Source organism: Homo sapiens, chromosome 22, assembly GCF_000001405.40.
Source record: "Homo sapiens chromosome 22, GRCh38.p14 Primary Assembly".
Lineage (NCBI taxonomy): Eukaryota > Metazoa > Chordata > Mammalia > Primates > Hominidae > Homo > Homo sapiens.
In genome coordinates, this window is record NC_000022.11 from 49,443,196 (window position 1) to 49,464,466 (window position 21,271).

Below are 21,271 nucleotides of genomic sequence, written 5' to 3' on the forward strand. Positions count from 1 at the left end.
AGGTACCAGTTACCAAACCCAGAAATGAAGAGTGGGCAACCACACAGCCTAAAGACATAAAATCAGTTTTTTTTTGTTTTGTTTTTTGTTTTTTGTTTTGTTTTGTTTTGTTTTTTTTTTGAGACGGAGTCTCGCTCTGTCGCCCAGGCCGGACTGCGGACTGCAGTGGCGCAATCTCGGCTCACTGCAAGCTCCGCTTCCCGGGTTCACGCCATTCTCCTGCCTCAGCCTCCCGAGTAGCTGGGACTACAGGCGCCGGCCACCACACCCGGCTAATTTTTTGTATTTTTAGTAGAGACGGGGTTTCACCTTGTTAGCCAGGATGGTCTCGATCTCCTGACCTCATGATCCACCCGCCTCGGCCTCCCAAAGTGCTGGGATTACAGGTGTGAGCCACCGCGCCCGGCCAAAATCAGTTTTTAAAAAAGGAAATTATGAGCAGGTTTATGCCAGTCAATTTAACAACTGGATGAAATAGGTGGATAAAAAGTGCAGCCCTGCAAAGCCCACCAAAAAAAAAAAAAAAAAAAAAAAAAAAAAAAAAAAACCTGAAAGCTTTAATCTCTGGAAAATAAATTTAATCTGAAATAAAAAACCTCTCCACAAAAAATCTTCAGGCCTAGAGAGCTCTGTTAGCAAATTCATCCAAATTTGCTTAAATATGGATAACAACATTCCACAGTGTCTTTCAGAAATTGGAAAAGGGGCAAAATATCCCAGAGTCACAGGGGGCTGGGCATCCCAGACACCAAAGCCTGGCAACTGACTTACGGGCAGGAATGCCACACCCCCATCTTCCTCCGGAGCACGTCGGTTTAAATCCTAAACCAAATACAAGTAAATTGAATTCAGCAATTTGCAAACCATAGGATTCATCATGATCGAACGTATTTAATCCCACCAATGCAGTGGTAATTTAACATTAAAGGAATTAATTAATGCACTTAACTCCTTGACAGCAAAGGAGAAAATGTATATGATCGTTTGAATAGAAGATGCGAAAACTGCTTGGTAAAATTCAACATCTATTCATGTTAAAAGACCTTAGACAGCTAGGCGTTGAAGGTAACTTATTACAAAGCCCTAGTAATCCAGGCAGTGTGATATTTCTGGAAGCAGAGCAGGTGGACTCAGTGACCAGGGTGAAGAGTTTTGCAGAATCACCTCACATGCACGTGGTCTCTGAACTCAGGACGAGGGTGACATTGCGAGGCACAGGCAGATGAGATCTTCTTACTAAATTCTGTTTGATCCATTTGAGGAAAAGAAAGTGAATCCTTGCTGCTACGTTATATTGCCCTGAATAATTAATTCTGAGTGAACCACAGACCTGAATGTGAAAGACAAAACAAAAAAAGCTCACAGAGGAACGTGTGGGAGAACGCTCCTCCTGACCTTGCGTTGGACAGAGAACTTTGACTTGGCCCCAGAAAGCACCTGCCACATGTAGAATGTAGACATTGGTAGACACTCAGCTTAAGAACTTCTGTCCTCGAAAACACAGCTCTAAGAGTGGACAGGTAAGCCCCAAGGAGAAGAAGACATCACAGGACTTCTCTCAACCTCGGACTTGCAGCCAACACACAGAAGAGACATACAAACCAGTGAGACAAAGAAAGACGGGTCGACTGAAAACTGTGAAATCTGAAATAGGCACTTCACAGAAAGGGTGTCTGATGTGCACCGAGCACAGAAGAGATCTTCAGCCCCACTAGTCTTCACGGTCATGGGAGTGAAAACCGTGTCGCACTCCCCAGAGAGGCCAGCGTGTGAGAGCAGACGGTGCCCGGTGCTGCGGAGGAGCGGGAAGAGGAACTGCGGTCCTCACACCTGCTCGTGTGAATGTTGGTGGCTTCAGCCTCCTTGGAAAACTGTATTTCAGTATCTACCACAGGTAAAAACACCCCGACTGTATGGCCCAGTGTATGAGTCAATTTTCATAGGAGTCCATTTTCATTTCTTCTGCTATGAAGAAATACTTAAGACTGGATAATTTATAAAGAAAAAGAGGTTCGTAATCCCAGCACTTTGGGTGGCCGAGGCAGGTAGATCACGAGGTCAGGAGTTCGAGACCAGCCTGGCCAAGATAATGAAACCCTGTCTCTAAAAATACAAAAATTAACTGGGCAAGGTGGCGGGCTCCTGTAATCCCAGCTACTTGGGAGGCTGAGGCAGGAGAATTGCTTGAACCCAGGAGGGAGAGGTTGCAGTGAGCCGAGATCACACCACTGTACTCCAGCCTAGGTGACAGAGCAAGACTCTGTCTCAACAAAAAAAGAAAGAAAAGAAAGAAAGACGGAAAGAAGAAAGAAAGAATGAAAGACAGAAAGAAAGAGAAAGAAGGAAGGAAGGAAGGAAAGAAGAAAGAAGAAAGAAAGAAAGAGAGAAAGAAAGAAAGAAAGAAAGAAAGAAAGAAAGAAAGAAAGAAAGAAAGAAAGAAAGGAAGGTAGGTAGGTTGGTTTAATGGACTCACAGTCCCACATGGCTGGGGAGACCTCACAATCATGGCAGAAAGTGAAGGAGAAGCAAAGGCATGTCTTATGGCAGCAGGCAAGAGGGCGTGTGCAAGGGAACTCCCTTTATAAAACCATCAGATCTCAGGAGACTTATTCACTATCACGAGAACAGCAGGGGAAAACCCGCCCCCATGATTCAATTACCTCCAGTGGGTCTCTTCCAAGACCCATGGGGAAGATGGGAGCTACAATTCAAGATAAGGTTTGACTGAGGACACAGCCAAACCATATCACCCAGCAAGTCCACTACTGAGTTTATACCCAATAGATGCAACATGCCTAACAGCTAAACCTAAAAATGTTCCCACTGAAATGGGCAGCAGTGGTAGGAAAGGTGGATCGAGTATAGCGTCTTCACAGCTGTGTATCATCCTGAGCTACAAACAGCTGCCGTGCACAGCAGCAGGCATTCACCCTCCACACCCAGTATCAAAACACAGCAGACAATCCAAAGGTGCAAACTGCAAAATTCCGTTTACTTCTTTTTCAAAAGCAGGCAAAGCTGAGGACTGGTGATGGCAGCCCAGATACTCAATGGGGCTGACTCTAGAGGTTCCCCAAGGGGCTGGGAATGCCAGGTCTCTCTCTCCAGCTGGTGGCTGGCTCTCAGGCCCTTCCGTCCGGCTAGTGGCTGGCTCTCGGGCCTCTGCGTCCAGCTGGCAGCTGGTTCTCGGGCTGCCCTCAGCAGGCCCTCCCTCTCCAGCTCCGCAGGGGGAAGACCACGTCTCTTCCCTGGCTCCACTGACTCCCCTTTTTTAACAAAAATTGGCACTACTAAAAGCAAACAAAAATTTGCTTTCTATCCACTGATAGGAACAAGGTCATGTTTGCTTTCCCCCGACAGGAGGCCCCTGCGGGAAGTAACAGACACACGCTCACTCTCCGTTTCTCATCCTCTATCGAAAGGCGTCGGCAAATCTGGAAGGGGCGGTCTGCAGCTGAGCTCTGCTGATTCCTTAATCAGCACCCCTTTGTAGGACCCCCTGGGTTACATCCATCTTCTCCCATCATAAGCGACGTGTGTGTCAACAATGCTTGCCTGTTTGAAGATTACGACTCAAGTAGAAAAGCTGGTGTCTAATGTTATCTATCCGGGTGCTCCCAGGAGGATGATGAAAGCCAACCCTGTGGGCCCTGAGTCAGGGGGAGCCCCTTCCACCCTCCGCCCAGGGCTGGTTCGAGTCAGGAGGAGCCCTTTCCCCTCTCCGCCCAGAGCCCTGAGTCAGGGGGAGCCCCTTCCACCCCCAACCCAGGGCCCTGAGTCAGGGGGAGCCCCTTCCACCCCCAACAAGGGCCCTGAGTCAGGGGGAGCCCCTTCCACCCCCAACCCAGAGCCCTGAGTCAGGGGGAGCCCCTTCCACCCCCAACCCAGGGCCCTGAGTCAGGGGGAGCCCCTTCCACCCCCAACCCAGGGCCCTGAGTCAGGGGGAGCCCCTTCCACCCCCAACCCAGGGCCCTGAGTCACGGGGAGCCCCTTCCACCCCCAGCCAGGGCTGGTTTGAGCATAGACACCAGGGTGCTGTTCCGCCAACGCGTCCTCCACTATCGGTGGGTGGAAGGCCTGAGTGTTTCCTGGTCTGCTGAGGGCTCGTTTGTGAATATCCCTTTCCGAATTGCCAGACGGTTCCCTGTGCCCATTTTTAAGTATTTTTCATCACTTCCTTATGGATTTGTAGAAGCACTTTCTACATAGGGAACGTTCACTCTTTATCACATAAATCCGAAGTATTACCCCAGTTGGCAGCTTTTTAATTATATTTTGGCATAGAGAAGTCATAAATATTTATTTGTGCAAGCATCGAAAATGTTCATATATGGCTTTCGCCATCGTTGTGGGCTTCTGGAATGACTTCCCCACACAGTTATTGTGTAAGACTCAGCATCATCACACAAGAAAATGGCCATTTACTTTCTTCATGAGAATTCCAGAAATATCGTTTTCGTGTGTTAAATGCAGAATATCCTGTCACAGCTGTCTGACCAGCCTACTAGCTTTACGTGGCCCAGCCTCAGATCTCAGCTGTGCTTTTATGTGTGTCTGGGAGACACTGCATCTGAACAGGGTTAGTGGGGGGTCCTGAGTTTTGGAGTCTGCTGTGTCTGCTCCTCAAGGCCATCAGTGAACTTGAACTTGATCTCTCCTCTCTTTTCAGAGAGATCGGCATGATCCGGCCCACCCTACAAGTGCAGGCAGTCGGAACAATGCTCCCACAAAGCCCCCAGCCCAGCGAGGAGGCAGCACCCCATTCCTGTGGGGCCACGGGGAGAAAGCCCCCTGCTGTGATGGGCCGTGCTAGAGAGGCTGGAGGGCGCGGACCAGGCAGGGGTTGCGGACAGGGCAGGGGGCGCGGGGCACCTTCCATCCTCCCTGGCTCAGCAGGGCTGTGTGTGGCCGGCCACCTTGGGCTCTTTCCCTGTCCATGATACCATGTAGTCAGGAACAGGGTGAGCTGTGAATGAGTTCCCTTGACTGAGGTGCTGGTGGGATGGAGAGGAGAGCGAGGGTGAAGTCTGAGAGCCCTGGGGTGGGGCACTCGGGGCTTCAGGTCCCCCTGGGCCCTGAGGACACTCAACTTCAGCTTTCCTGCCACTTCCCAGCACACCGGCTGCCATGGCCTCCCCGATGAAATCAATTATCCCATTGCTACAGTCAGTTAAAAGTGAAATTAAATGAATTCTGAACATTAATAACAGGCTGTAATAAGACAAACTACCTCTTAATGATGCATAGAACCCTGATGAAAATAAATTTCCTTGTGGGGTGTGTGTGAGTGTGTGCGAGTCAGGTGGGGAACTCAAGGGGGAGTCTTATCCGCGGAATTAAAATGAATATTGATTACACAGCTGATAATTAATGATAGCAATTTTTGATTAAAAATGAGTTCATTTAGCAAACAAGTGGAGTGTGGTAACATTACATCTAAAAATAGAATCTAGAAGAAAGGGCCCTTGTTACACAGGCAGGAGTACAGTGAGCTCTTTGATCCTGAGGCCGACGCCTCTGGATTCGAAATGAGCTTCTCACTCAGCAGCCCCCGGAACACACAGGCCTCCCGGGAGACGACCGCCTCCGTCTCCCCAGCGGGAAGGCAACACGGTGCCGCGGAGGCCCAGCCTCCAGCCTTCCACAAGATCCAGGGGCTCAGGGAGAAGCGATTGGGCCTTCAGGTGCTTCTCTCCAAAATCCCATGGCTTAGACAGATTCAGCAAAAATGGGATAAAACGGGGCAGTAACCCTGGAAGTGCTGCTGCGCTGGGAAGGACTCCTCCACCCCGGGCAGGTTTGTTCTGTCTCCCTGTCACATACACACACACACGTATACACACATATACATACACACAGACACACGCATACAGACACACACGTACACACACAGACACACACAAACATACACATACACACAGAAACACATACACACACAGACACACACACAGACACATGCATACACCCAGACACACAGACACACGCATACACATACACAGACACAGACACACACATACACACATATACATACACATACACACACGTACACACAGACACACATGTACACACACAGACACAGACACACATATACACACAAACACACACACTCATACACAAATATACACACATATACACTACACACATACACATGCATACACACATACACGCATACACACACACATACACACATACACACATACGCACACACACACATACACATATACACATACACACATGCATACACGCATACACACATACACAAGGAAATGTTTATGTGGCTGAATTCAGAAAAAGCACCTGCGAAGCCCTTCTGACTCAGAGCAGCCGAAACGCCGGGTAAGATGTGGAAGCCTGTGGCTGCGCTGGTAATAAGGACAGAAACGCCGCCAGCCATGGGGGCTGCCCTCAGGAGAGCGGGACGGGCAGGAGGGCACCACAGGTGGCTCAGTCCTGGGCCTGAAGCTAGTTGCTGTGGGCAGCGTGCGGGGGCAGGAGCAGGGGCAGGACCCTAAAAGCGGGAGAATTCGGAATCCAGACATCCATAAAGCCAGGACACCCCAAACGGCCACAATTTGGAGCATGAGCTGGAAAAGGGATCCTGGTCTCTCTTCCCATGACTTCACGGGAGAGGGTCCCCCTGCCTGGCTCTGGCAAAGCAGAGGAAACAGAAGAGAGCCCATCCGTCCACCTCTCGCCCAGCGCCTCCACCCTCACCGACGTGTGCCCACCCGTCCACCTCTCGCCCAGCGCCTCCACCCTCACCGACGTGTGCCCACCCGTCCACCTCTCGCCCAGCGCCTCCACCCTCACCGACGTGTGCAGCCCCCGCCTCCCCCCACAGGAAAGGCCAGCGATTTCACGGGGCCGACACGCCGTCCACGCGCAGTTCTCAGTGACAGACGCAGCGCTCGGCCAGGGCTGTGCTTCCCCACACCTGCAGGCAGCACGGGGTTGCATTAAACAGACATCACAGCCTCGCCAAGGAAAAGCCACCTCACCCATGAGTCAAGGGAAGCAGAGAAATGCAGGATCAGGGCGGAGGTCTGGCAGGACTGGGAGGCTGCAGCTCAGAATTCACACAGCAGAGCTGAGTCCAGGGGAGGCGGGGCGCGGGGTGGGGGAACGTGGGGGAGGAACAAGGACTCTCAGAATTAAAATGGAGCATCGTGAAAGATACACAAACAGATGGATGGAATTTAAAACCAACTGCCAGTCAGACACAACTCAAGAAAATGGAAAGACGTCGTCGAAGTTTCCCGGTGAAGCAGAAGGACAAAAAGACCAAAAATGTGAATGAAAAGGGTTAAGAAACTCAAAGGATTGAGGCCCAGTGTGTCCCTGAGTGTCGCAGGAGGAAAAAGAGAAGAGATGGTGAGCAGGTGTTTACTGGGGAATAGGAGAGGGCTCACAGGATGGCACCTGGGACAGGCATGGGCGCCGCGCCCCGAAAGGTTCCCTGACTCCCTAAACACACACATCTAAACACCTCCTGCTGAAAATGCAAATCACCAAGTCAACAGCTGCAGAGAAAAGAAGGCCCCCTGCTCAGGGGGAGGGGACTCCACCCAGCAGGCGATTCCTCAGCAGCCCTGGAAGCTGGAAGACAGTCGGATAAGATCTTCAAAGCCCTGGAAGAAAATAACTGCCGAACTTAAATGGCAAACTCGCAAAAATATTTTTGATAAGGAGAGAGATAGGAAGGTATTTTCAGAGGAACAAAACCCAGAGTTTGCAATCAGCAGACAATCACTCATGAATTTCAAAGCAGTGTATTTCGGAAAGAAAGAGAATTCCAGAAGGAAAATGTTTTAGCTACTAGCCAGCATTTGCCTTCTTTCAGCTGACAACATGGGCTGAGAGTCAGTGACTTCTTTAGGCAGAACGTCACCACGCTGAGGTCACTGCCCCCTTTGCCCGTCCCTGGACATCCCCAAAGCTCACACCCTCCTTGTACCCAAGAGTGATGAATGTCGTCTCAGCAGAGGAGATGCCGTCCACTGTCCGTGGCTGGCCAGTCCCCAGCCACCTTGTTCTCTATATGGTGCTCGCCATCCCCAGAGTCAATGCGTGGTGTGTCCAGTGTCTGCCTCTGGCCACCGGGGCATGGATGTCACCACTCCAGGAATTTTTCCCTGTCCACGGCCGTCCCCCATTGTTGAGGTCAGGGCCTGGTATACTTGAGAGCTTGGTAAACCTTACTGAGTGAGGGAATTATTTCATTATGTCTTCCAAAGGATTCATGTCAAAATATTCAGATACTAATTCTCAACATGAGAAAACTGAAACCCGGAAAGGATGTGGCCACTTCCTTAGGACTGAAAAAAATACATGAGGACCCTTGATTTGAACCTACCAGAGTGTGAGCCCCAACAGCCAGCATGGAGCGGATGACCCTGGAGTGGAGCCAACTGGAGTCTCAGACCCACGTGGGCAAAATAAAGAAGCTGGAACAGGGGGCCACTGAGATAGAGCAGCCAGGCCCCTCCTGGGCAGGACCCACACTGGCCCCTACCACCTGCCCTGCCTGAACCACACTCACACCCACCCCTCCAGCCCTGCCCAAAACACGCTCACACCTTCCCCTCCATCGCCTTCCCCTTCAGCCCTGCCCAAAGCACGCTCACACCTTCCCCTTCAGCCCTACCCAAAGCACGCTCACACCTTCCCCTTCAGCCTTGCCCAAAGCACGCTCACACCTTCCCCTTCAGCCCTACCCAAAGCACGCTCACACCCTCCCCTTCAGCCTTGCCCAAAGCACGCTCACACCCTCCCCTTCAGCCTTGGCTTCTCATGGTGCTCTGTTGTTCCCCAGTTGTTCCTTTGTCCAGGCTGCCTCTCCTGACCAAAGCCCTCCCTCTAGGATTGTGCTCACATAGAGCCTCCCCAAAGCCTTCCATAAACACTTCAGGTCTAAAATAACAGCCACCACCACATGAAGAGCTAACGACCATGAGCTTGAATGTGGGCCAGGCATTGTGTTAAGTCCACATCTCCAGTCTAATTTAATTTTCCCAACAGCTCTGGGAAGAAGGTGCTATCATTTCCATGATTTTGCATGGAATCAAAAACACAAAGAATGAAATAACTTGTGCACAAACCCACAGCTTGTATGTCACAGAGACTGAGTTCAAACCCAGATAGCACCCATGACCCTCAGAGCTGAACGTTGAGATTAATGGGTGGATGGATGGAAGCAAGGAAAGATGGATGGATGGATGGATGGATGGATGGATGGATGGATGGATGGATGTGTGGATGGATGTGTGGGTGGGTAAATGGATGGATAGATGGATGTGTGGGTGGGTGGATGGATGGATGGATGCGCAGGTGGATGGATGGTGGAAGGATGGAAGGATGGGTGAGTAAATAGATGTGTGGGTGGGCAGATGGATAGGTACATGAGTGAATGGATGTGTGAATGGATGGATGATGGTGGGTGGATGGATGGATGAATGGATGGATGGGTGGGTGGTGGATGGAAGGATGGATCATGAATGAGTGGGTGGATGATGTGTGGATGGGTGGAGAGATGATGGATGGGTGGTGGATAATCAATGAATGGATGTGTGGATGGGTGTATGGATGATGGATGGATGGATGGATGCATGGGTAGATGAGTGAGTCGATGGATGGTGGAAGGATGAATAGATGGATCATGAATGGGTGGGTGGATGGATGTGTGGGTAGGTAGAGGAACAGGTGCCTGTATGGATTGATGATGTGAATGTGTGGATGGGTGGTGGATGGATGGATTGGATGTGTGGATGGGTGGATGGATGGGTGGCTGAATGGATGTTGGTGGAAGAATGGATGGCTGGATTGTAGATGAGTGGGTGGATGGGTGTGTGGATGAAAGGATGGGTGCCCTGTGAGACCTGCAGAGAGTAAATAGATGTGTGGGTGGGTAGATGGATAGTTGCATGAATGAATGGAGGTGTGGATGGGCAGATGGATGATGGGTGGGTGCCTGAATGTATGTATGACGTGGATGTGTGGATGGGTGGATGGATGGGTGGATGAATGGATGTGGGTGGAAGAATGGATAGCTGGATTGTAGATGAGTGGGTGGATGGATGTGTAGATGAAAGGATGGGTGAGTAAATGGATGTGTGGGTGGGTAGATGGATAGTTGCATGAATGAATGGAGGTGTGGATGGGCAGATGGATGATGGGTGGGTGCCTGAATATATGTATGACATGGATGTGTGGATGGGTGGTGGATGGATAAATGGATATGTGAATGAGTGAATGGATGATGGATGGATGTGTGAGTGGAAGGATGGATGGATGGAGCATGGATGGGTGGGTCAATGGATGTGTGGGTGGGTAGATGGATGGGTGGATGGATGAATGGATGATGCTTTTGATTTTATTGGACTGGGCTGATAATAAGGCCCTAAAGTCCTCTGGAAGTGATGTTACTCTCTGCAGGTCTCACAGGGCACCTTGACTGTGGTTAGGCCATAGAGTGTGAAGGACATTCAGCCCCATTGGCATTGCCCATTGAGACCCTCCATGGCCTTCCCAGTACTGTGCCTCCTCTCCCTTTATCTCATTTTCCTGCTTCCTCTTTGCTTCCATCTCTGACACCTGGTAGCTCCTGCGGCCTTTGTCCTTCCTCCCACAGATCTTCTTGTCTCGCTTCTCATTAAGCACGGCAGTGGACGCTCTGAAGAAGCTTTGGGGCTGTGCCAATTTGCTCTGTGACAATGTCAAAGAGCTCAAACGCTCCTCTTTAAGCCAGGACTGTCAGTCAGCAGCTGCCTTGTGAGGAGGCAGAGCTCCTCTGCTGGTAAAGAAGGAGCAGGGAGGGAAGGGCGTCTGTGCAATTAACCTGGACACCGCCGGGACACACACACGCTCTGATCCCCTCCGTGCTCGGTGTTGGCCCAGTCTCTTGCGGGCTCACCTTCCAGTGGGCGCCTTTGCCCTTGCGTGGCTGGGATGCAGCATGCTCACCAGATGTGTTCACGTGTGCAAATGTGCTTTTTAAACATCTCCCTTTCTATTGTTCACCAAGCAATTCAACTGCTTTCACATGGAAGAAAGGGAAAGCGACGTCTGAAGGTGCATAATTAGTAACATATAAAAGAAATAGTAATGAGTGCACATAAGGTGAAAATGCAAATGGAACAGGTGCCTTTGTAGATGAAGGGCTTTGAGTCAACTTCGGGTCCTCTGGGCTTCCATTAGCATGCTGGCAGGAGCCAATTATTCAGTAGGTACTTAAGAAATACTCATGGTGAGTTTGTGCATCTTGTACGTGCGTTCCCATTGCCTGTGATGGAAGCAGCTCTCAGATGTCCAGGGAGATTTTCTACTAAAAAACTTGAGATTTAAAGTTTATGGATAATTGAGAAGATCTACTTTTTGCATATATCTCAGATAGAGAGCTTGTATTACCAATTCTCTCTCTCTCTGTTCCAAGTCTGGGACAGCTTACGCACCTTAGACAGGGCCACCCACAGGATCTCTCAGCCAAAATCCTCCACACAAAAGAATCCTAAGGCTTGGAATGGGGAGAAGAGGCCAGGGAGGGAGGTGAGGATGACTCCCAGCCCCCTGCTTAAGAGATGGTTCTGCAGAGATAGTCAACAAGGAGGAAGGCCTCCCAGCTGCTGCCCGGGCGGAACAGGGGCAGCTGCCATGCAAGGACTGTGTGACTGACCACTTCTACCCCTGGGCCACCTGGTGAGGTCACAGATGGGAAGCCTTTTGGGGAAAGGCCATCAGGGCTACCCTGGGGGCCAAAAATCCCCACTGCCCGCACCAAGTGTAGGCGTTAGCACGAGGGCATGCTGTGGAGTCAGTGCAGGGAACACTCCTGTTCAACGTTCAAGTACATTTAGTAACAGAGACCAGGGTCTGCTTTAGCAACCAGATAAGAACATTTGGAATTAGTGTCTTAACCGTTCCTGGTTTCCTGAGGATGCCACTTTTGTTATTTCCACTCATCACATCAATTTATATGTGAATCATGAGCCATCGTATAATTAACACCAAGCGCTAGGCTTTCTGGGGGACACAGGACAGGGCACTCCCTGCAAACGCAGAGCTCATGAGGGAGGGGTCATTCACTGTGTTCCCCCCACCCCACATCTGGCATCCAGTCGCTAAGAGCTTCCGGGGGAGTGGCTAAAAGTGAGTGGTCACGGACGCATTGAGAGTGGCAAGATTCACGTAAGAGGCACAAGAGGAGGGCAGCGTGGCCGCTGAACACCTACTGATTAAGCCCCACTGCCTGCAAGCCACTGTTCTAAGTGGTGGGGACACCACGGGGGAGAAACTGTGGGAACTCTGTGTCCTCCTGGAATCTAGGTGGGGGGACAGACGGCAGATCAAGTACATAAGAAAAACGCTCATCACGTGAGACAGCCAGCGCTTTATGCAAAGCGTGAGGCAGGGGAGGGTGGGGAGTTCTGTGTTTGTGTGCATCTGTGTGCACGCACATGCGTGTGAATGTCTGCACACATGTGAGCACGTATACATGTGTGCACGTCTGTATACACACATTTGTTTGTGGCACATGTGCACGTCTGTGTGCGTTCACATGGGGTGGCTAGGGAGGGTTGCATGAAGAAGGTGATTCTTGGCAGAGCCTTGCAGGAAGGGAGGGAGGGATTCACGCGGACACGTGGCGAAGCTCTGCAGAGGGAGAACAGCCAGGCAGCCGAGCAGGTGTCTTAGAGAGCCAAGTGCTGTCTGGGAGGGGCTGGGAGGGGAAAGGAGACCCCACCAGCAGCACCCAGAGGAGCAGCTTGCAAAGGAGCAGATGTGAATGAGCAGGACCTAAAAGAGAAAATTTGACATTCTGTTGAGGAATGTAAAATAAAAATCCACATCTGTCCCGAACAGGAAGACTTGAGGCCATCAGGATCCAACATCCAACAATGCGCTGAGCCCAGTCCCTGCTTCAGGTTCTAGGGACACAGATTCTAGGGACACAGGTTCTGGGGACACAGCCAGAGCGGCCAACGCCTCTCCTTCCCGGAAGTCGTGAGGTGCCTTCCAGACAGCGATGCTTCCTGATTCACTCACACACTCACTAAGACCCCAAATAAAATACTAGCAGGATGTTTGGAAATGCTGTAAAATAATTCTAAAGTTTATCTGGAAAAATAAACGTATGACCAAGGAAACCAGGGCTGGGAAGGGCTGCACCTCCCTGGTGTGATAATGTAATTTTTTTTTTTTTGAGACGGAGTTTTGCTCTTGTTGCCCAGGCTGGAGTGCAAGGGCGCGATCTCGGCTCACCGCAACCTCTGCCTCCCAGGTTCAAGCGATTCTCCTGCCTCAGCCTCCTGAGTAGCTGGGATTACAGGCACGTGCCACTCCGCCTGGCTAATTTTGTATTATAGTAGAGACAGGGTTTCACCATGTTGGTCAGGCTGGTCTCGAACTCCTGACCTTAGGTGAACCACCCACCTTGGCCTCCCAAAGTGCTGGGATTACAGGCATGAGCCACCGCGCCCGGCCAATAACGTAATTTAAACCGGATGATGAAGGTGCTTCTAGACTTCTGCAGGCACAGATAGGCAGACAAACCCAGCAGGGTTTTCACAATCCAAACAGGTCCCAAACACGGGTGGGATTTAGCACAGGGCAAAGGATTTAGCTCCAGAGCTGAGGTGCTTCCTTGGTAACCACTGCAGGGCCCTAAGCAGCCAGAAGAAAAAAGTTGGAGTATTTATCACTTTAAATATAAAGTCACACACAATTCCAGATGGAACCAGGGCTGAAAATGAAACCATGAAGAAAATACGGAGGAAAAAGAAGAAAATACCAAAAAAGAAAGCTTTCAAGGCATTATACACAACCTGTGAGCTATAAAAGAAAAAATTTGAGAAGCTTCAGGCAATTTAAAAATATCATAAAGATTTAAAGGCAAAGGTACAAAATGGAAATACATTGTCACACATATCACAGAAAAGGTTAATAATGTCATTAATACACAAAGATCGCTTACAAGTTGTAAAAAGGTAAACAATCCAAGAGAAGAGCAAAGCAGCCGAGGACATGAGCTGAGGCAGCCCACAGAAATCGGGGATTCATGGGGCAGGAACACAGGGGAGGGGTCGTCGGCTGGCCGGGGGTTCAGCAACGCCCTCATCAGCAGACGAGCAGCCCTTGTTCAGACAGGACTTGGAAAGGCTCGTGACTGAGCAGCCCCCGGGGTTGGGCGGACGTGGGAGACCAGACGTCGCCGTACACTGCTGTGGAACTTAGGAAGGCACCAACCATCCGGAGACAATTGACAACTTCTTTGCAACTTAAAATGCAGGTACCTTGGACACATACGTCCACTTCTAGGGGTTATTTCAAAATAGACATATTTGCATAAGGACACAAACATTTGTGAAAAAGAATGTTGATTGTGACATCTCAGAAACCAGGAAAAAATTGGAAAGCCTTAATTGTCTACCACCAAAGGACATGTTAATAAATCATGGTCTCTGCACCCAACAGTGTCATATGTCAAATCCACACGGGTGGTCATGGTAAGGGGTTCAAATATTTTCAAATAAATTATCTATTATTAGATGCTAAAAATCAATGTCTAAAATATTAAACCCATTTGGGTAAAAATGTGTCTTTTGCACACATGTGACTGTAAAGATGTATCTATTTTATATAATAGAGAATAGGTATAAAAACCACTAACAGAGATAGCACTATGCTCTACTAAAAGCCATCAGTGACGGGGGCACCTTGGCTAAGAAGCCCTGGAGGACATGGCTTGAGGACACAGAACCCTGAGCCCCTCCTCTGAGCCTAGGATCCCCTGCCCCTCATGCTGTCCTGACCAGACAGCTGCCCGGGTGGAGACAGAGATGGGCAGAGAGGCTGGTGGGCTTCCGTTAACCCTGCAGGACAGGCACAGCCCCGGAGCTTGGGAACCACCCACGGCTGTGCGTCCCTTAACAAAGGAAAACAGTCTCCCGACCACTGGCCACATCTGCTTGGCCCTTGGTAATCGCCGAGGCCTGGCCAGGATGGGGGCCACAGGGCACAAGGCAGAAGGGGGCAGGTGCAGGAGAGTCAGCGTCGTGAGTGCGAGTGATGTGTGTCTGTGTGGCGTGTGTCAGCAGGGTGTGTAAGTGTCAGTGTTGTTTGCATAAGCCCGCTGGTGTGTGTCCATGTTGTGTGTGTATCAGTGCTGTGTATGTCCACACTGTGTGTGGGTCAGTGTTGTATGTGTGAGTCCTTGTGTGAGTGTGGTGTGTGTGTTGTGCCTGTGTTGTGTCTCAGTGCTCTGTGTGTTTACGTTGTGTGTGGGTCACTGTTGTATGTGTGTGTCCCTGTTGTGTGAGTGTGACATGTGTTAGTGTTGTGTCTGTGTTGTGTGTGTCTCAGTGCTGTGTGTGTCCACATTATGTGTGTGAGTCAGTGTTGCTTGCATGTGTCCCTGTTGTGTGTGATGTGTGTTAGTGTTGTGTGACTGTGGTGTGTGTTAGTATTGTGTGTCTGTATTGCCTGTGTGTCAGCATTGTGTGTCCATATTGTGTCTCCATGTTTGGTATGTCTCAGTTTTGTCTGTGTGAGTCTTGTGTGTGTGTATTTGGTGTCTCCATGCTTTGTGACTCAGTGTTGAGTATGTGAACCCCCAGCCCCTGCGGGGTGTCCATCCCGCCCTTACAAATGGACGGACCAACCCGGGCGCTGACATCACTCTGCATTTGAGGGATGCAGGTGCAGCGTGGGGCACGGGACGACCCTGGCCAGGGCACCTGGTCAGCCCTACACTCCCTGACCCCAGGCTGACTGTCCGCGGTGGGAGAGCACTTGAACGCTCCTTCCACCCTGGCTTTGTGTGCTCACGTGCCAGCTGTTCAGGACAGGTAACGCCGTGTTTCTGGACGGCATGAAGTTCTTGCCTTTCTGTGAAACAGCCCTTCTGGAGGGACGATTTGGAGTCAAGTCAGAGTCCAGGATTCACAGTCAAATGTCAGTTCCCTGAGATGACAATGGCAGGTGGATTTTAGAATCACAGACAGTCTGGGAATGGGACGCAGAGGTCAATGAACAGCTGGCCAAGGGTCGTTTCTCTCCAACATCACTGACCAGTCTGACTTGGGCAGGAGCCTCGTGAGGAGCAGGTGCCGTGTCTCCTGGCCCTGCACCATGAGTTATGCCGTGTGCAGGGGGTTACATTGTCTTTTTGAAATGGCTCCTCCAGCCTCTGGGTCTGATGCATTGGACCGAGGGCTGCAGATGGATGGCTTCGTTGCCATGTTGGCATCTTCGTCTTGGAGAGCTTCTCTGCCCTCATTGTGGATGTGCACCAGCCTTCCTCACTGGCCATCCGGTGAAGCCTTGCCCGGCAGTGAGACTTCACACACTGCAGCGTGGGGACCTGCACTTTTCATTTTTCCTCCTTCAACATCATGTATCCCATAAACTAGCATTTGTGGATGTTAATACCTGTAATAAATTCCCTCTCTCTATATATACACCTTGCCAGGACACGGTCTGTGTGACGTCTCCCTGTGTGGCTATGGAAAGATGGAAGGGATTCGAGAGGGAAGAAGGGACAGAGAGAGGGAGGGGAGAGCAGAACCCTATTCTCACTTCTCAGGAGGTGCCAGCTTCTCAATGTGTCCACCAATGTCTGTATGTGATTTGTGTTCACTTCACAGGAAATGATGCTTTGGGTGACTTCTGATTGAATCAGGATATCATAAGATGCCTCTATTGAAGAGACAAAAAATAAATATAATCAATTTTCATTAAAATGTGCACTAGATGGTTCTTGAGAACCTATTATGTGCCTGGCAGTGCATAAGGCTCAGGGGACCCCCTGGAGACAGGAACCCTGCCTCAGGACGCAAGGTGGTTGAGGCACCAGTTTGGGCTCTGCAGGCTGACAGCAGAGTGGAGGTCTGCCCCACACTTGCAGGTAGCTTGGGACAGGCTGTTAGCCTCTCTAAGCCTTGCCTCTAACACGGCAAGAGCAAGAATATTTGTGGAACAGTTTTGCTGTGATGATGCTGTCAGCAATGGTAGCTGTATTTAGCTTTCACCTAATGGTGAAGTGGATTCTTCCCCCCAGTAATCACATTCCAACATAAGCCAGCATCTAAAAGAATCCTCACCCCAGTCATCTGTTTTCTGAGCTCTGAGCTTTCTAAGAAGCTCCAGGGCATCTTCCTCCCCTGCGTCCTCCCCTGTGTGGGGGAATCTTGTCCTGGGTGATGGGAGAAGGCGGGCTCCTTCTCAGGCCTTGGAGGAAGGCACATCCCACTGATAGAATGCCCTTCCGTGCACCTCCAGTCCGAAAATTTTCCACTCAAGTCATGGTGCTTCTCAAGAGAACTCAGAGTTTTTGGAAATAGATGGAAGATGCACATTTTGATTGCTGTAGATGAAATTTACTGGTATATGCAGATTTCATGGCTAAGTGCCTCTTTTTAAAAAGCTTCCATCCCACAATTCCTTCCCCATTGACGGGCTGTTCCAGATTATCTATTGTAATTAGATTTAGACTTTCAGCCAACCTTCTGCATCACTTCAGCTATTTCAGAAAAATGAAGGAAGCTTTCCAAATGTTTTCCACAGCGTAACGCTGTGCCCGGGGAATGTCGTGGTGCTGGGCTCGGAGATCCCTCCTGCTGCTGTTCTATTTCCTTGCGCTCCCAGATAGGGACGCCCCTTCCACAGCCCCGAGTCCAGGGACACCTTCCCCCTGCCTGGAGCAGGCTGACCCCTCGCCTCCATGCCCACCGCACCCAGCTCATCCTCACTTGTCTCTACAAGGGCAATCCTGTTTTTATTTCAACCCTTCTGAATTCTAACCGTGCTACCAAAACAAGGAGGGAGAGGGGAGAGAGGAAGAAAGAAAAAATAACCTCTCTCTAAGTAAATGAGGCTGTTGGGCTTTGGAAACCTGCCAAGCCCTTTCTATGAGGAGCTGTTATATCAGATTTCTCAGCAAGAAAGAAACAAGAAAATTAGTGTGCGGTTGAATTGGAGACTAAAATTAGCCATCTTGAAAAACAAATCTCCAATAAATACAACGAGGATTTATGGCTAAAATTACAGGCGGCACAGATGGCATCTGATGGCATTTTATCTCAAGGGGAAAATATTCCTTTTACATCAGAGCATCAGCATTATGGGTTCAGGGATGATTGTGTAGGGTCTTGCACCATTTTCAACACACAACAGCAAGTGGCTCGGCTTCATCAGCTCTTCGGGAGATGTTAGAGGCACAAGGCCAGCGTCCTGAAAGGTCACTTTGGCCAATCCACTGCCTGTGGGCTGATTCTTAGTTCCCCTGGCATAAGCAGGGAAGGAATCTCTTCTGATTTCGAAGGCCGCTTGTGAAGGAGACCCCACACCGGTGACTCCCCACTCCGTGTTTAGAACCTTCGCCTCCAGGTCAGGGTTTTATTGGTTTGTTGGTCATCCCTCGTCCACGTCTCCCCCTCTGCATATTCCAAGTGTCCTCCTGGGCCTCCTCGGCTGAGATTTTAGGGTGGAGGAGGCAGCGACGCAGAAGCACGGCTATCTGACAAACTGGGGGGACACTGGGCCCCAAAGCAGACATTGCCCCGATACGGATTTGGTTCCCTTTAATGACTCTCCGGAATAAAATAAAGGTGTAGACTACGGCTCTTCAGAAGAACGAGGCTCGTGTCTCTGGGGTGGTGCCTCCAGGTGGGCGGTGCGCAGGAGCGTGTGGCGGCGGCCGAGACCCAGAGGTGTTTGTCGGTGACATGGCCAGAGCTGTCACAGGGAAAGGCAGACACACAGAAGGGGACCCACCAGGTGGACAGCATTGCCGGAGGCTTCCAGCCTGGAAATCCATCCCCCACACGTGGGTTCCCTCAGCTATGGTGGCCATGTACTATAGGGTAAGGCTCCAGGGAACCCAGACGGGCCTGGCCTGGGTGACCCCTGAGCCCACAGATGGAGCCCAGGTGGGACAGAGGCTGTGGCCTGGAGAGGTGCAGCCGGTGTATCAGGGACTTTAGAGCCCGGGGTCCACAGCAGCTCGGCTTTGAGGGGGTTTGTCCTTCAGTCACGCTTCATTCCCCACCACACTCAGGAAGGCCCCAAGAGTGTCCCCGACGCTTCATCGGCTGGACTTTTTCATGTTGTTTTTCTTGTAGCTCATTAATGCTGCAAATATAGATCACTGAAATAGAGGCTTGGAAGTATTACTTGTTTTGCTTTGTGTCTTGAAATAATTTTAGATTTACAGAAGAGCTGAAGAGACGCCACAGCGAGCGTCCACATGCCTGTCACCCGCTCCCCCTCTGCTAACGCAGCTCACATTGATGTGCTTATTAAGTCGTCTGTGGCTCTGAGAAATTCACGGTGATACCATGTGACGAGCTGAATGAAAGGCTTGATTCGGACTTGGGTTTCCCTCAGCGTCCTCCTTCTGTCCCAGGATATCACACTGCGTGTGGTCACCGGGTCTCCTCACCGCATCCTCCAAACTCTGACAACTGGAGGTGATTATTTTAATAGAAAGACTGAAAAGTTGGCCAAAAAAGAAAATAAAAAGATGGAGAAATTTTCAATAAAGTAAAAGAATGAGAAATTGTCAAGATTGGATTCTGGTCACGGATTTTATAAAACCTTGTACTCTCTAATGCTTTCTCCTGGTGAGACCAACATGGTGGGTTTGGGGGAAGAGCTCCCCGGAGGGGCGGTGGGCTCCGTCTCCCGTCACGCAGCGGCTGCACGTCACTACACGCGTGCCGGGTGCACCAGCTCTGTCCCTGGCCGGGGTGCTGTCTGCCTCCCCTGCCTGGAGCAGGCTGACCCCCACCCCACCCGGCTCATCGCCCAGCTCTCTGCTGCACGGACTGTTTTGCTCCTTCCTGCTCCGTTGTTAGAAGCAAGTCACGAGTCCAACCCACACTCCAGGGGAGGAGAGTTAGGCCCCACCTCCGGAAGGAAGGGGCATGAGACAGTTTGTGGATATATGGTACAACGGCCAGAGTCACGAGTGCAGGCTTTGGGTGACACACTCTGAGGCCATGCGAATGCCCTGTTTCTCCTCCAAGGCCCCTGCCCTTCGGGTCATTCCTGCAGCAATTAAGACTGTGGTGTTCTTGGGGTGGTTCTCTCCCTCCCTCCGTCCTTTTCCTTTTATTATTCAAAATTATTATTGGTTTTGTTTTTTTATTTTTTTTGAGACAGAGCTTCACTCTCGTTGCCCAGGCTGGAGGGCAATAGCACGATCTCGGCTCATTGCAACATCCGCCTCCCAGGTTCAAGTGATTCTCCTGCCTCAGCCTCCCAAGTAGCTGAGATTACAGGCATCTGCCACCATGGCCGGCTTTTTTTTTTTTTTTTTGTATTTTTAGTAGAGACGGGGTTTCACGATGTTGGTCAAGCTGGTCTCGAACTCCCGACCTCAGGTGATCCGCCCACCTCAGCCTCTCAAAGTGCTGGGATTACAGGCGTGAACCACCGCGCCCGGCTATTATTCAAAATTCTTATAGATGGAATGTTGGTGGACTCTCCACTATTCGTTTACTTATGAAATCATGTGTTGACATCAGTGTAGACGCATGTGCACCCTCTTTATGGCATTTCCTGGTTTTGTGGTGCTGTACGATGCCCTGGGCTCATCTTGTAGTTCTCCTGCCCCGTCCCTAGAGTCACCCACTCACCCAGGTAGCTTTGGTTCCCTGTATTAGGAAATGGTTAGAAACCAAGGTCAGAACTTTCCCATATTAGGGAAGTGTTAGAAACCAAGGTGGGGACTCAAGACCTGTTCATTCTCGCAGGATGTCACTGCTTCTCAACCATCTCAGGGACTGAGCTGGGGCGTGTTTGTCATTCACATTTATATATGTGTGTGTGCGTGTGTGTCTGTGTGTGTGTGTGTGTGTGCACTACGTGCCTGCATGCATGTGTGTTATTTTTCTGAGGTCTCTGAATAAAATACAGCCCCAGAGTCCATTCACACATTGCCTTTGCTTAGGTGCAACTTTTCCTCTGACAGTGAGAAATCTGACCCCTGCCTTCTACTGTTTATTCATTGGTTTATTCCACCTGAGTATACATGTGAAGTGGTTACATAGTTGCTCGGCTGCACCCCTGAGAGAGACAAACTTACCGCCTGGAGCCAGCACTCAGACCAGTTCCTTTTGTCTTGAGTCAAAAACCTCTTTGCGGAAATTGCTCAGGTGAGCCCCACTCCCCACCCTGCCCCCAGCAAGGTGTGCCGTGCCTCTTTAATGCCGTCAGATTCAGCTGTTAGTTTGCCTTTCCTCCCAGGACCCCGCACCGGCTGGTGGATCATTCCCAT

The 21,271-nt window shown here is 50.4% G+C and overlaps 1 long non-coding RNA gene across 2 annotated transcripts in view, besides 3 other annotated features; it reads right to left on the bottom strand.

The window, feature by feature from the left end:
- The window catches only part of MIR3667HG (MIR3667 host gene), a 242,996-nt gene that overhangs the window by 28,672 nt on the left and 193,053 nt on the right, over positions 1-21,271 (bottom strand). The window lies entirely within an intron of this gene.
- Positions 14,965-15,464: an enhancer, noted in NCBI's record as "H3K4me1 hESC enhancer chr22:49851809-49852308 (GRCh37/hg19 assembly coordinates)". NCBI's record gives its function as "activates a minimal SCP1, AML or CMV promoter by ChIP-STARR-seq in naive H9 embryonic stem cells {active_cell/tissue: H9 hESC(naive)}" and the evidence as "EXISTENCE:reporter gene assay evidence [ECO:0000049][PMID:30033119]".
- Positions 18,279-19,277: an enhancer, noted in NCBI's record as "H3K4me1 hESC enhancer chr22:49855123-49856121 (GRCh37/hg19 assembly coordinates)". NCBI's record gives its function as "activates a minimal SCP1, AML or CMV promoter by ChIP-STARR-seq in naive H9 embryonic stem cells {active_cell/tissue: H9 hESC(naive)}" and the evidence as "EXISTENCE:reporter gene assay evidence [ECO:0000049][PMID:30033119]".
- Positions 19,278-20,275: an enhancer, noted in NCBI's record as "H3K4me1 hESC enhancer chr22:49856122-49857119 (GRCh37/hg19 assembly coordinates)". NCBI's record gives its function as "activates a minimal SCP1, AML or CMV promoter by ChIP-STARR-seq in naive H9 embryonic stem cells {active_cell/tissue: H9 hESC(naive)}" and the evidence as "EXISTENCE:reporter gene assay evidence [ECO:0000049][PMID:30033119]".